The 14,645-nt window shown below is 44.1% G+C and overlaps 1 long non-coding RNA gene across 2 annotated transcripts; it reads right to left on the bottom strand.

Annotated features, from left to right (window-relative positions):
* Positions 1-2,318: 2,318 nt before the first annotated feature.
* On the bottom strand, positions 2,319-14,371 carry LOC105375344 (uncharacterized). Of its 2 annotated transcripts, XR_001745023.1 has the most exons (3): positions 14,218-14,371; positions 12,564-12,643; positions 2,319-3,155 (listed from the first exon to the last, which is right to left on the bottom strand). It is a non-coding gene; the product is annotated as an uncharacterized LOC105375344 (long non-coding RNA). The 2 variants fall into 2 exon arrangements; XR_927648.1 differs by lacking the exon at positions 14,218-14,371 and having other exon boundaries at positions 12,564-12,730.
* Positions 14,372-14,645: the final 274 nt, after the last annotated feature.

Raw genomic sequence — 14,645 nt, forward strand, 5'->3', positions numbered from 1 at the left:
CCCCTACAAAGGGGAGGGATTTTTTTCCTCTCCCACTCTCCTCAGCTTAGTAAATGCTGCACCAGTTCAAGTCAGAAACCAAAGCATCACCCTTGATTCTTCTATTTTCTCTACACACTCCCTCCATGCATCAAGCCCATCACTATCACCTGTGACTCTATTTCCAAAATAGGTTTCATTCATAAACTTCCCTCCATCCACACTACTCTTAGTCAAACTGTCAATATTTCCTGCATTCTAGAAGATCATCTTGACTATATCCCTGGCACCTCTATTCTTTTGTGAATGCACATTGGCTCACGGTGGTCCCCTAGAGCCCAAATACATGCAATGGTTTTCCATTGTAACTAGGACAAAACACAAAGTAAGTCCTCACGATTGCCTAAAATTTCTGCATGAACTAGTCCCAAAGAGCCCTACAATTCCATTTCCTACCGCTGATGGCTACTACCCAGCCATGCTGGCTTGCTTTCTTTTGTATGAATATGCCAAGCTCTTTCATTTCTCAGGGGCTTGGCACTTGCTATTCTTTCTGCCCTAGGGCCCTATCTCCAATCTTTGCAAGACCTTAATTGTGATTCAGATCCCACTTGCAATGGACTGCATGACTGTACCCCCTACCCCCAAATCCATATGTTGAAATCCTAACCCCAAGTGTGATGATTTTAGGAAGTGGGGCCTTTGGAAGGTAATTTAGGTCATAAGAGAAGTCCTCATGAATGGGATGAGTGCCCTTATGAAAGAGACCCCAGCCTGGGTGCGGTGGCTCATGTTTATAATCTCAGCACTTTGGGAGGCTGAGGCGGGTGGATCACTTGAGGTCAGGAGTTTGAGACCAGCCTTGCCAACATGGTGAAATCCCAACTCTACTAAAAAATACAAAAATTAGCTGAGCGTGGTGGTGCACGCTTGTAATCTGAGCTACTTAGGAAGCTGAGGTGGGAAGATCACTTGAACCTGGGAGGTAGAGATTGCAGTGAGCCAAGATAGCACCACTGCACTCCAGCCTGGGTGACAGAGCAAGACTCTGTCTCAAAAAAAAAAAAAAAAAAAGAGAGAGAGAGACCCCCCACAGAGCTCATGTGAGGATATGAGAAGCTGGTGATCTACAACCCAGAAGAGGGCCCTCACCAGAACCCAACCATGCTGGAACCCTGAGATCAGACTTTCAGCCTTCAAAACTAAGAGAAATAAAATTCTGTGGTTTATAATCCACCCAGTCTATGGTACTTTGTGACAGCAGCCTACACTAACTAAGACACCACTCAGATATCTCCTCACTACCTCTAAGGACTTGATCACATTATCCAGTCCCAACTAGAGCCACACTGTAACACATCACCTTGTTCCATTTTTTCCATGGTGCCTCTCTGTTAACTTGTTAATTGTCTTTCTTGCTCCACCTCCCCACCACACCTAATCTATGAGAGCAGGGACATTTTGTCCCCACCACTGCTTTCTCCAGAACCTGAAAGACTGCCTGGCACATAGTAGGTGCTCAGCAAACATTTATTCAATAAACAATGAATAAATGTATGGGAGGTCGATGCAGAAGGATCACTTGACTCCAGGAGTTTGAGACCAAAATGGGCAATATGGCAATACCCTGTCTCTACAAAAAAATTAAAAGTTAGCCAGGTATGGTGGTGCACACTTGTCATCCCAGCTACTCGGAAAGCCAAGGTGAGAGGATCACTTTAGCCAGTAGATAATCTGTGGACAGAGCAGAGATAGAGAAGAACATACTAAAACTTGGGGTGTTTTTACATTATCTTCAACCCACTGAGATTTCCTCTCTTACTGAACTTCAAATGTCCCAGTAACTGTTCTTCCTCTTCCAGATCCCTTTTTTTTGTTTGTTTGAGACAGGGTCTTTCTCTGTTACTCAGGCTGGAGTTGAGTGGCATAATCATAGCTCGCTGCAGCCTGGACCATAGCTGGGACTACAAGCACATGCTACCACGCCTGGCTAATTTTTAAATTTTTTGTAGAGACAGGGTCTCAGTATGTTGCCCAGGGTGGTCTTGAACTCCTGGGATCAAGCAATCCTCCTGCCTTGGCCTCCCAAAGTGTTGGGATTACAGGTGTGAGCCCAGGAGTTCAAGGCTGCAGTGAGCTATGATTGCACCACTGCACTCTAGCTGGGGCTACAGAGCAAGACCCTGTATCTTAACCAAAAAAAAAAAAAAAAATGGAGTAAGAAGGTAAAGGTAAGAAACTAAAAGGAGACTATATAAGAGAAGGAGGAGAAAATAAACCTCCTCATTTTTTGCCAGAACATACTATTCCCCACCAAGAATCCCCAGTAACAAACCTAGTTCCATTGGCAATACTTTTTATTTTGCATTCAAAGACTCAAATTCTTGATCTCTGGCTCTTCTTAACAGCCTCAGGAAACAGGCCAGAAAGGAAAACAAAATCCAACTGCCCTGTCACATACCAGAAAAATGATTTTCATGCGTTCAAACTCAATATTTATACTGGAATACAAAAATGTGATTCTGAGAGAGAAAATAAAAGTAATGAGGAGATACAATTAATTGCAATCTAGACCTGCTTTCTATTTTTTTCACCTTGAGCAGATAAGTTAACCTCTCTGACCCTTAATATTCCAGGCAGGGAAGTAGATGGACCAATACTTTCCTCTTCTTAACTCTCAAGTCTATTTTAACTCATAAAATGTGAAAAATATATAACAATGGCTTAAGGTTAGACAGTTTATAGGTTATAGAGCTTGAGAATTTTTTGATAGCTTTGGAGAAAAGAGTAAATTATTATTTTTATGGTCATAATTCAGGGTCAGTTTATCACATTATAGAGCTTTGAAAAGAATTATTCTTTAACCAGAGAAATAACATGTGTATATTACTGACTGTTATGCTAGTAATAAGATCCATGACTACAGCATCAATGAAAGGAAGAAACTAGAATGAGAGGAATGGAAAATCAATTTGTCTACTTTTCCAACCCAACATTTATATGCTGACACCAAGTGCTGATAGTTACTGAGTCAAGTATCAGATGTTTATGTAATGCCTCAAACACCGCGGGCTGCCAGGATTTCCTTCTGAAAATTCCAACTGGCTGACTTCAGTTCCAAATAGGATTTCTTTCTTCTTCTGTACATCCGTGGTATGACATTGAATATTTTCCACCTGTGTTTGGTAGGATGAGATAAATGAATTAACAGCTATATATGTTAGACATAATTTTTGTTACAATACTGTAAGAAACCTTGACTAATATTGACTTTAAAATATTGGGGCTTATTTGTCTTATCCAACAAGAATTCCAGGAGATGAGGCTGAGATGGCAAATCAATGATCCATCGGGAAGCCAGCAGTGGTGAGCTTGAGCTGCTAAATGTTTAACAACCATTCTGAAGGGACAGTAATATTTTGTTATGTTTGTCAATTTCCATAGCATACATACTTCCACCACGGTTTGATTTCCAGCTATCAACGTGACACAACTAAGTGCAGAGTTGGAAGAAACGCTCAATTGCATTCCAGTACAAAACATTTCCACTATAAATATTATACACGTAAATAATCTCATGAGCATTATAGTAAAGCAGTAAAAAAAAATGTTTGCACTATTATCTTTGTTTTAACATAACTTGTTTCATTGTAAGTTTATATAAGGCCATTTTTAATCATGGCTGTGCTGAACAACAAACATGCAAAATTCTTGAGAAGTTATTGGTCAAATCTTGCAAGCTGGTAAAAGCCAGTTCCAACACAAGCTCTTCACATCATTTTGCTCTGCCATCTTTAATGTGTGGACCTTCATCCATGTGCCTATTGCTTCATAGACACAGGATGGTTACTGCCCTTCTGAGCCTCACGTGTGCATGCAGGAAGAAGAGAAAGGAAAGGTACAAAATAGCTAATGCATCATGCCAATTAAAATATATATGTATTTCCCAAAACCCCACCTAAAGGCTTCAGTTTACAATGCATTGGCCAGAATTGAGTCATGTGTGCCTAGTTTGAAGATGGCTAGGTGGAAGAGGAAACACAAATGATGGCTGAGTTGGCCAGCCAAATGGGTCTGCCATGATAATAAAAATGTATTTATGGAACTCCAAAGTTCAAGACACCATGCTTTGCACAGTGAGGCAGAGAAGAAAATAGAGCGGTTCAAAACTCAGTGCTTGCCATCCAAGATTCTTGGAAGGTAAGGCTAGGCGGAGTGGCTCCCACCTGTAATCCTAACACTTTGGGAGGCCAAGGCGGGAGGATCACTTTAGCCTAGAAATTCAAGATCAGCCTAGGAAATATAGCAAGACTTCTTCCCTACAAAAAAATTTAAAAATTAGTCAGGTGCCGTGGCACATGCCTATGGTCTCATCTTTTCAATAGGCTGAGGTGGGAGTCCAGGAATTTGAAGCTGCAGTGGGCTATGATCATGCCACCGTACTCCAGCCTGGGCAACAAAGCCAGACCCTGTCTCTTAAACAAACAAACAAACAAACAAAGATTCTTGGAAGATAAGACAGAGAAATACAACCAACAATTCCAGTTTAATTTTCCTTTAACAACACACTAAGAGCCAAGTGTTGGTCCAGAAGCTAAGTATCTCTATTGTTGGTAGAGGCAGACATCACTCTTGTCTGGGGGATCCCTTCCATCAGAAGGGGTTATCCTCACAGAAAGAAAAGTCAAGTCAAACAAGTAACTGCCAATGAGTTTATAAATTCTGCTTAATTTAAATCATAAATTACTGTATATGGGTACAGCCTTTGGGCACTCCCCTATTTCAGTTATTTTAGCTAATTGCATGGGAGGTTTAAATTTGTGTTGAAACATGTGGGCTAAAATTAAATTGCTCTATCAGCATTGACCTACCTGCTTTTTCTGGGTAACAGATAACTGTCATTTTTCTAAGCTTAGTTCAATTCTTTTCAATGCCCTCTGGAAAAACTTTACTGGTATCAAATGCTTTTTTTTTTTTTAAATGTTCTATTTTAAAAATTCTTTCTATGCAAGAAAGAATACCACCATGATGGTTAAAAGCATCATGTTACCATTTCCAAAGATAAGCATAATACTAGTCGGTATGTTATGGCTGTATCTCTGGAACTTTCTATCACCATCAACATTGAATTAAATTATGCCCATATTTCTTTAAATTTTCTGAATCTCCTCCTGCACCTGGGCAGAGTGGGGACCCTCACTCGTCGTGTGAATAACTTCACCAAGATGAACAAGAAGAATGGTTGCTGTAAGTTGCTGAGCTACATAAGCCTTTGGGGCTGTTGAATCAGCCATCAATTTTGCCTGATGTAAAAGGTTATTCTCTTACTGCCTTTCAGTTTTGCCCTTTCAGCTCTGTACAGGCCACCACTGAATTTTTGCCTTAAAAAAAATTTAGCATCGTGGCTTGTCTGGCACAATGATAGGTCTGGAAAGTTCAGAGAAATTCTTGATACAAGGTCCTTCAGGACCTATGATAGACAACAGTTTCCTCTCCTCCCTGGAAACCTAATAACCTTTCTTTTTCCACAACCACCCCATCTTTCTCTCCATACGACCCAGTTTGCCCCATATAAAAATGATATGTTAATCAGCTATTGCTGCATAATAAACTTCCCCAAAACATACTGCCTCACTGCAGCAAGCATTTCTTTTGCTAGCTCCCAGGTCTGCGGACTTCGTGAGACGTCCCTGCTCTAGGCTGTGGGTCAGCTTAACCAGGCTGCAGACTGCAGGTTGAATTCAAGTCTTTTCTTCACCCATTTGTATTGCTAAAAAGTGTCGACGAAAAGAGTCAAAGTCTGTAAAATATTTGGAGATGTATTCTGAGCCAAATATGAGTGACCATGGCCTGTCACACAGCCCTCTCTGGAGATCCTGAGAACATGGGCTCAAGGTGGTCAGGGTGTAGCTTGGTTTTACACATTTTAGGGAGACATGAGACATCAGTCAAATACATTTAAGAAATACATCAGTTTGGTCCAAAAAGGTGGGACAACTCAAAGTGGGGGAGGGGAGGGGGGAGGGGGAGGAGAGGGGGAGGGGAAGGGAAGAGGGGAAGGGAAGAGGGGAAAGGGGGGGGAAGGGGGAGAAGGGGGAGGGGGAGGAGGGGGAGGGGGAGGGGAGGAGGGGGAGGGGAAGGGAAGAGGGGGAGGGGAAGGGAAGAGGGGGAGGGGGAAGGGGATGGGGAGGGGGGAAGGGGAGGGGGAGGGGGGAAGGGGAGGGGGACTTCCAGGCTATAGGCAAATGTAAACATTTTCTGGATGACAATGGGTTCAGTTTGTCTAAAGACCTGGGATCAATAGAAAGGAAATGTTCTAGGTGAGATAAAAGATTGTGGAGACCAAGGTCCTTTTGAAGTCTCACAGTGGCTGCCCTTAGAGACAATAGATGACAAATGTTTCCTATTCAGATCATTAAAAGATGCTAGACTCTCAGTTAATCTCTTCAGGATTGGGAGGGCCTGGAAGAAAAAGATCTAGCTATGTCAGAGATTCTTTACAGATGCAAATTTGCGCCCACAAAAGACAGCTTTGCAGGGCCATTTCAAAATATGCCAAAGAAACATGTTTTTGGGTAAAATATTTTGATTGTCTTCTTTATCATGTAGTGTTATGCCAGAGTCAGACTGGAAAGTAAGTCGTGATATATAGCATTAAATAAAACCCATCTGATGAGAATTTAGGGTTTGTAAGGCATGACTCCCCAGACCCTTTAGATAGGAATTTGGGCAAGATTAAAAAAAAAAAATAGCTTAGTCCTCAAAAGCAATATCTAGCATTGGGTAATTTACAAAAAAAATAATAATAATAATTAAAAATTTTTTTAAAAGTTTATTTGTCTCATGATTCTGATGTCTGGAAGTTAGGTATTGGGCATCTATATTTGTGATGGTCACAGAATGCTTTCCCTCATGGGGGAAGGTGATAGGGACCTGGTGTGTGCAGAGATCACCTGGTAAGAGAGAAAGCAAGACAGAGAGGCAGGAGGTGGCAAGCTCTTTGTAACAACCAGCTCTCCGTGAACTAACAGAGGCAGAGCTCTCTTACCTCCTCTCACCAGGGAGGACATCCATCTATTCATCAGGGATCCACCCCCATGACCCAAATACTTCCCATCAGGCACCATTGCCAACATTCGGGATCAAATTTCAACAACAGGCTTGGAGGGGACAAATACGCAAATGATAGCAGGTTCCCTCCATGTGTCTCTGCCTCTGTTTGGAGTAGCACCTACCCCGGCGTGGTCTTTTCATGGCGGACATCCAGGATACAAAAGGACAAGCAGGAACACGCAAAGCCCCTTGAGGACTCACACCTGCCACAAGCACTCACCTCCCACTGGCCAAATGCAGCATCAATGGGGAGGGAAATATACACCCCTCAGGCCATTGGAAAGTGCTTAAAATCACATGGCAAAGGATATGGATGAGTAATTCTAACTCAGGAAGAACTGGAAGAATTGCAAGCCAGGACTCCATCTTCCACAGATAACCCTTGCCTTTTGGAATCATCTGTTTTCTCACAAGCAGTTTGCACATCATGGTTTTGTAAAGAAGCTTTACACAGTGGCTCACGCCTGTAAACCTAGAACTACGGGAGGCCGAGGCAGGTGGATCACTTGAGCCCAAGTGTTTGAGACCAGCCTGGGCAACATAGCGAGACCTCATCTCTACCCCAGAAAAGTACAAAAATTAGCTGGGCATGGTGGTGTGCATCTGTAGTCCCAGTTACTCCGGAGGCTGAGGTGGGAGGATGGCTTGAGCCCGGGAGGTGGAGGCTGCAGTGAGTCAAGTTGGCACCACTGCACCACTGCACCACTCCAGCCTGGGAAACAGAACAAGACCCCTGTCTCCAAAAAAAGCTTCTCCAGTACCTGATTTTGTTCTTTCCTCCATAAGCCTACAAGAAATGCCTGTGAAATGCCCCGCTATTCAGCCTGAAGGCTAAGATGTAGGGGCCTCCTCTAAAAAAAAATCCTGGGCTTGGTAGCGGGTGCCTGTAATCCCAGCTACTCGAGCGTCTGAGGCAGGAGAATCGCTTGAACCCAGGAGGCAGAGGTTGCAGTAAGCTGAGATCGTGCCACTGCACTCCAGCCTGGGTGACAGAGCAAGACTCTATCTCAAAAAAGAAAAAAAAATAAGAAAAGTGTGGTAATGGAAACAACTTACACCAACATACTTGGTACAGTTGGTTGATAACACAAAGAAATATATGATTAAGAGCCAGAATGAGGACGGAAAGGTAAGATGTTGATGGGCATGAACAGAGCATTTTCATTTTCTTTTTCTTTTTCTTTTTTTTTTTTTTTGAGACAGAGTCTCGCTCTGTCGCCCAGGCTGGAGTGCAGTGGCGCGATCTCAGCTCACTGCAAGCTCCGCCTCCCGGGTTCACGCCATACTCCTGCCTCAGCCTCCCAAGTAGCTGGGACTACAGGCGCCCGCCACCACGCCCAGCCAATTTTTTGTATTTTTAGTAGACGTGGGGTTTCACCGTGTTAGCCAGGATGGTCTCAATCTCCTGACCTCGTGATCCGCCCGCCTTGGCCTCCCAAAGTGCTGGGATTCCAGGCGTGAGCCACCGTGCCCAGCCAGAACAGAGCATTATCAAAAGGAGAAGCACATCTCAAGATAGAAAAGTCTCACATGGGAATGACATAACCTCCGACGTATGTCATCCTTTTGCCAAAAAAAAAAAAATGTGAAAAATGAATAATTATGTTTAACCTGTCAGCAGGCTGGTTATATTTTGGCCCTGTTTCTATAATCCTAATTTTTGACTAATGAGCTTTCCACTATTTGATTTTTTAATAATAATAATAAGGCCTAGCATAGTGGCTCACACCTATAATCCCAGCACTTTGGGAGGCCCAGGTGGGAGGATTGCTTAAGCCCAGGAGTTGAAGACCAGACTGGGCAACATAGCCAGACCTTGTCTCTACTCAATATCAAAAAAATTAGCAGGGTGACACAGCAAGACCATGTCTCAAACAAAAAAAAAATTAGCCAGGCATAGTGGAGCATGCCTGTGGTCCCTGCTACTCAGGAGGCTGAATTGGGAGGATCACTTGAACCCAGAAGACTGAGGCCGCAATGAACTGTGATAGCACCACTGCACTCCAGCTTGGGCAACGGAGCATGACCCTGTCTCAAAAATAATAATAATAATAAATGCAGAATATCACAAATGGCGGTATTCTTCAGAATTCTTTTGTAATGCAAACATTTATAGCCCCAATTGATTCATTTTATAGATTCAGATTTCCTTCCTTAAAACCAGAAATGCCTTTCTACCGAGGCTTTTATTCATATGTAAAGAAATAACACCTAAGAAAACAGTGACTGAAAGATTTCATTCCAGGCTGCCTGGCAGGAAGAGACCTTGGTCACTCAGTTCTGTGGTTCCCTGGCAGTGGTGGTGCATGAAGAAATTGCCTTATGTCTTTTATCTGTTTCAACTGCAGAATGAAAGCAGAGACATCTGAGTTCTGTACGGGTTTGGATTCAGTTCCAGAGTTTGCTTCCTGGACTCAGAAACTGGCCATTGGTCTGAATTAGACTCTGAGAGCTGGCAGGTCACTGAGCCTTCCTTCATTTTATGGATGATGAAAAGGAAAATTGGGAGTTCAATAAAACTGGGACTAAAATCCAGGTCTCCTGATTTTCCAAGTGAAAGCAAGATTCTGCCAGTCACCTGCTGGGTGCCTCTTAGACTCCTAGAGCATTTGCTATAAGCCATGTCCTCTCCAGCCTCTGTAAGACTGACCCCCCAGAACAGCCTTGACTTCAGATGGAAGAACTTGATTCAAATCACAGCTTCCACGTATTAGCTGGTTGTCCTTGGGCAAACTGCACGCTCTCTCTTTGCTTCCATTCGCTCCTCTGCAAAATGGGGCTGATGATGTCTAATGTACAGTGGAGGCAGTGGAATAATGTATTGTACAGTGCCTGACATGTAGGAGCAGTGACAAACAGCCATAACGATGGTGACAATGAGGAAAAATGAGCATGGTGGACTTAGACACCTGTCCAGAGATAGACCTGCACAGAGAACTCGGAGAAGGGATGTGGCATGAACTTGTCTGAGACCCACGCGGGGCATCTGTAGTTTTTCTGCCCTGGGATAGCAGAAGCAATAGTTTCCCCGTCCTAGGTGTTATCATGAATTTAATGAGCTACTGTTCGTTCAGTGCACCTTTGGGGTGGGATAGAGGAAAGTAGTAATGGGTCTTGAGATTCTGAGATTTCCCTGAGGATAGGGAGATATTAGTTTGGTGCAAAACTAATTGCAGTTTTTGCTATACTTTTAATGGCATTATTATTATTATTATTATTATATATTTTTTTGAGACAGAGTCTCACTCCATCACCCAGGCTAGAATGCAACGGCACGATCTCGGCTCACTGCAACCTCCGCCCCCCGGGTTCAAGCGATTCTCCTGCCTCAGCCTCCCGAGTAGCTAGGATTACAAGCGTGCACCACTATGCCTGGCTAATTTTTGTATTTTTAGTAGAGATGGGTTTTCGCCATGTTGGCCAGGCTGATCTCGAACTCCTGACCTCAAGTGATCCACCCACCTCAGCCTCCCCAAGTGCTGGGATTACAGGCTTGAGCCACCATGCCCAGCCAAATGGCATTACTTTTAATGGCAAAAACCACAATTAGTTTTGCACCACCCTAATAGATTTCCCAAAAGGAAAATGGAGATGCAGCCCATGGAGATTGGAAGAATGAGACAGTTGATGGGGGGGAAAAAGAACCTGAAGGTAGAGAACAGCAGGAAAAAAAATAATGCGCCACAAGGGACCCCTGTGGAGAGTCTATCTTCCTGGGGGCCTTCCTGGTGAGCTATGGAGAAATTATCCTTGACAGTTTTAAGTTTTTCCCTCCAATGTTGCAAGTCCCCGCATCCACAGCTTAATCCAAACTTGAGTGGTAGTATCATGGAGGACAAAGTATCAGGAGAACAATGAAAAGCGGGACCTGCCTGCACTGTTCCGGAGGTAAAAGTTGAAATATACAAACTCAAACTTCGCCACTCCCAAGGGCAAACATGCATTGTCAGTGATAGCACCACTGAGGTCTAGAAGGAAGACAGATCTGTTTTCCTGTCTTGTCTCACGATTTGAGAGGTGTTCTTCTCTTGCACGGTGAAGACCATCCTCTTCATTATGACAGTGACACAGAGCCCTCGTAGGTCCTAGCCTTCATCCTCTCTTTCCAAATGGCCCTTGTGTGGCCCATTGGAACTAAGAGAGGGGGCCATTGCTCGGCCATATACCTCCCAATGACCACATAAAGACCAGAGAGAAGCCCAGAATTACTGCCTGTTGGGATACCACAACTCTCTCTTAAGGATAAGTTACTATAAGTCTCAGTTTCTCCATCTGCAAAAGGGAAAGAATAGGTCCTACCTTATACAGGTATCACATCACTTCAATGAGCAGCTCCAGTTTTATTAAGGCATCCTCTGCAGCGCTTGGCACATGGTAAAGGCTCACATTGTTAGTTTCTCTCCTCCACCTCTTAATAACTCTCACTAAAGTGGCACATGGTAAAGGCTCACATTGTTAGTTTCTCTCCTCCACCTCTTAATAACTCTCACTAAAGTCAACTCTACCATTTTATCTGTGAAAAAATCAGTGCTTCCAACAGCACTGTGGCAGGACCTTAAAGTTGGGGACCCCAAGGAAAGCTTTGCACAAGAGGACATATTGAGCCTCTTCAGAAAGGCTACTCTGCCAGGAAATTGTTGCTAGGAATATGATCTAGCATTATTTCCAGGAAGAAAAAGTAACTCATTGGAAAACATGATTAGACATTTTTCAAATTTCCCCCTCCCCTTCCAAGCTGGGTTCATTTCTACCAAGGCGCAAGAGGCTGGTTAAAATACACTAAAATAGACTTCAAGGGAAAGAAGTTCCAATATGTCAATCTGAGGGTTGTGAGTAGACAGAGAAGGTGCAGTTCACCACTGGGGCTTGGTGATGAAGGGATGGGGAGGGCCTTAGGTGTCTCATGGGGAGGACGTCTTGTGCACCAACTTGAACCTTGGGTGTTCTTTTTTTTTTTTTTTTTTTTAGAGGCAAGGTCTGTCTCTATCACCCAGGCTGGAGTGCAGTGGTGCAATCATAGCTCACTGCAGCCTCCAACTCCTGGGCTCAAGTGATCCTCCTGTCTCAGCCCCCTGAGTAGCTTGAACTACAGATGTTCACCACCATACCTGGCTGATTTTTTTTTTTTTTAAGACATGGGGGTCTTGTTATATTGCCCAGGCTGGTCTTGATCTCCTAGGCTCAAGCGATCCTCCCACCTCAGCCTCCCAAAGTGTTGGGATTACAGGCATGAGCCACTGTGCCCAGCAACTCAAGTGTTCTTTATAAAAACCATTGGCAGTGACCTTGGTCTCTTCAACTTCAGTGATTCCTGACCAGACGCCAGCATGTCAGGAACTCAGTACAATGACCTCACTTCCAGGCCACCCAGTGCTGCCAAGGTGGACAGGAGGCTCCAGATTCCTAGGGATTTAGCCTTCAGGTATCTCCTTTCTGGAATGACTACTGCCGGGTTCCTCCGTGGAACTCACCATGTCGTCCCCCCATCGTCCTTCCCTGTATGTCTCTGCAGATTGTGAAAACACCAGCTGGTCCACCTCGGCTGCTAAGCCTAGGAGAGGAAAAAGCAAAGGAGTTATGGACATAGCTTTGAGGGTTTTTTTTTTTTATCATCTAACGGTTCAATATTTAGAGCAATATTGATTCGATTTATCTAGTGTTGTAATGTTCCATTGGTTGCTAGGCAACAGAGTTCTTTCTGCTGTGTACTCTGGGTGGCTCATGGGAGTTTGACTACCAAAGAGATTACTTTGTGTATGTGAGACTAAATGGACCATAGGTGCCATACATAAGTGCGGGGGGGATACTGTTTTACTGGGCAGTGTTAAGACCAGGTTTCCTATCACATCTTGGTAATTGCAATTCAGCCTCCAGAACAACACAGCCATTCATATTCACATTCCCCTACAAGATACCCTCTGAGAACAATTTAACACAAAGTTGTGCTGATGCATAAAACCCTATGTTGTGTGCTTACCATTCCATCCTCATAAACTTCAAACCTGCACTGGGGCAAGGATGGATTTATTCCTCCCGCTTTCCATCCCCCACAAGTCCACCGATAACCAAAAATAGCAACGTGGATTACAAAAGGGCACATTCTGGTTTGTGCTTCAATCCTAGTACGGCAGCATCTTTCTTCATTTCCCTTATCCCAACTTCTCCCCTGCTCACCCCAAAATTGCCTTCCCTGTCTTGGTTTTTCTTTTTGGGGGGCTCTTTTGTAAGTCCTTGACACCGATGCTTCCTATGACTTTAAAATCCCAAGTCAGAACAGCAGGTAATGAGGCCCTGTCAGCTTGGGCTATATGGTTCAGTGACTTGGCATTGATGACATTTATTTTGGAACCTGCATGATGGCCTGACCTATTTTAGGATCTCTTCTTTCACCATACCTCCCTCCTCCGTTTTTCCAATTAGAAGCGAAGATAAAGGGAAATTGGGGGAGGCTGGAGAGGGAGAGAGAGAAGAACCTGGAAAGTGATTCTCCAGGAATAACATGAGAAGCTGCCCACGTTGCCCATAACATTGGAACCACTGTCATAAAGACAATTTCAAGCCCTACTGGAAAGGCAAGAACTCAAGGCTGTGTCTGCAAAATGGGAAGAAACTCCAGAGGCAATTATCTGCCTAGTTGCCCTGTGCAGCCACAGGAAATACACAAACCAAAGCCCACATTTGGTACTGTTCAGCATTTTCCTCTGTGGGAAGACCTGTTCGGGAGAGAAGTGATCCCATTCTTCCTAAGAGAAAAGCTATCTAGAGGAGAGAAAGGAAGGGGAGGGGGCAGGGAGAGGCAAGTGCAGGCAAGTGGCCAACAATGTACATTTACAGGGAATAGAAATGGAAAACAGATGCTATGCAGGAGTATAAAGCATTGCCCTAGGAGCACCATCATCAGCCTCTGGAGAATAGAGTTTCTCAGATCCAGGCAAATCACACAGTAAGTCATTGGGAGCTGCAGACTTATTGTAAGCAGCTCTAAGCAATGGCCCTCCTGGGCTGCCTGGTACCCTGTCTCAACATCTTTCTCATGGCTGGGCAGTAGCCAGCATTCCTCTGAAAACCACTGAGGTTTTCTTGAATTGTGCACAGTGCAGCTGCCCTGGGTCATGGACCACTGACCTTGACTTCCTTCTTTCCTCCAGGAGTGCTACAACTCCTTCGTCAGACTCCCCAAATAGTGGCCTTGGTCCTTTCGCGTCCTTATAACTCCCACTCGCTTGGAATGAATTCCACTGGGGCCACTAGGAAACGGCTTACAGAGCTACCATCTCCCTCTTGGAGGTCCAGGTCTTGCTGCTCCTGTCAGGTAAGAAGCTCTGCTATAGATGAGAACACCTCATTGCTAGTTAAAGAGACAGGAACATCTATTCAGAGAAATGCTGGCTACACAGAAGACTCAGAGAAGGCAAGGAAGAGTGATAGAAAAAGGATGGCTTCCGATTTTGTCAATCTATTTTGCAGCTCATAGAAATTGTTGATTTAAATAATCTATTATAAGACTTCGTGGCTGGGCATAGTGGCTCATGCCTGTAATCCCAGCACTGTGG

This window comes from Homo sapiens, chromosome 7 (assembly GCF_000001405.40).
Source record: "Homo sapiens chromosome 7, GRCh38.p14 Primary Assembly".
NCBI classification, from domain to species: Eukaryota; Metazoa; Chordata; class Mammalia; order Primates; family Hominidae; genus Homo; species Homo sapiens.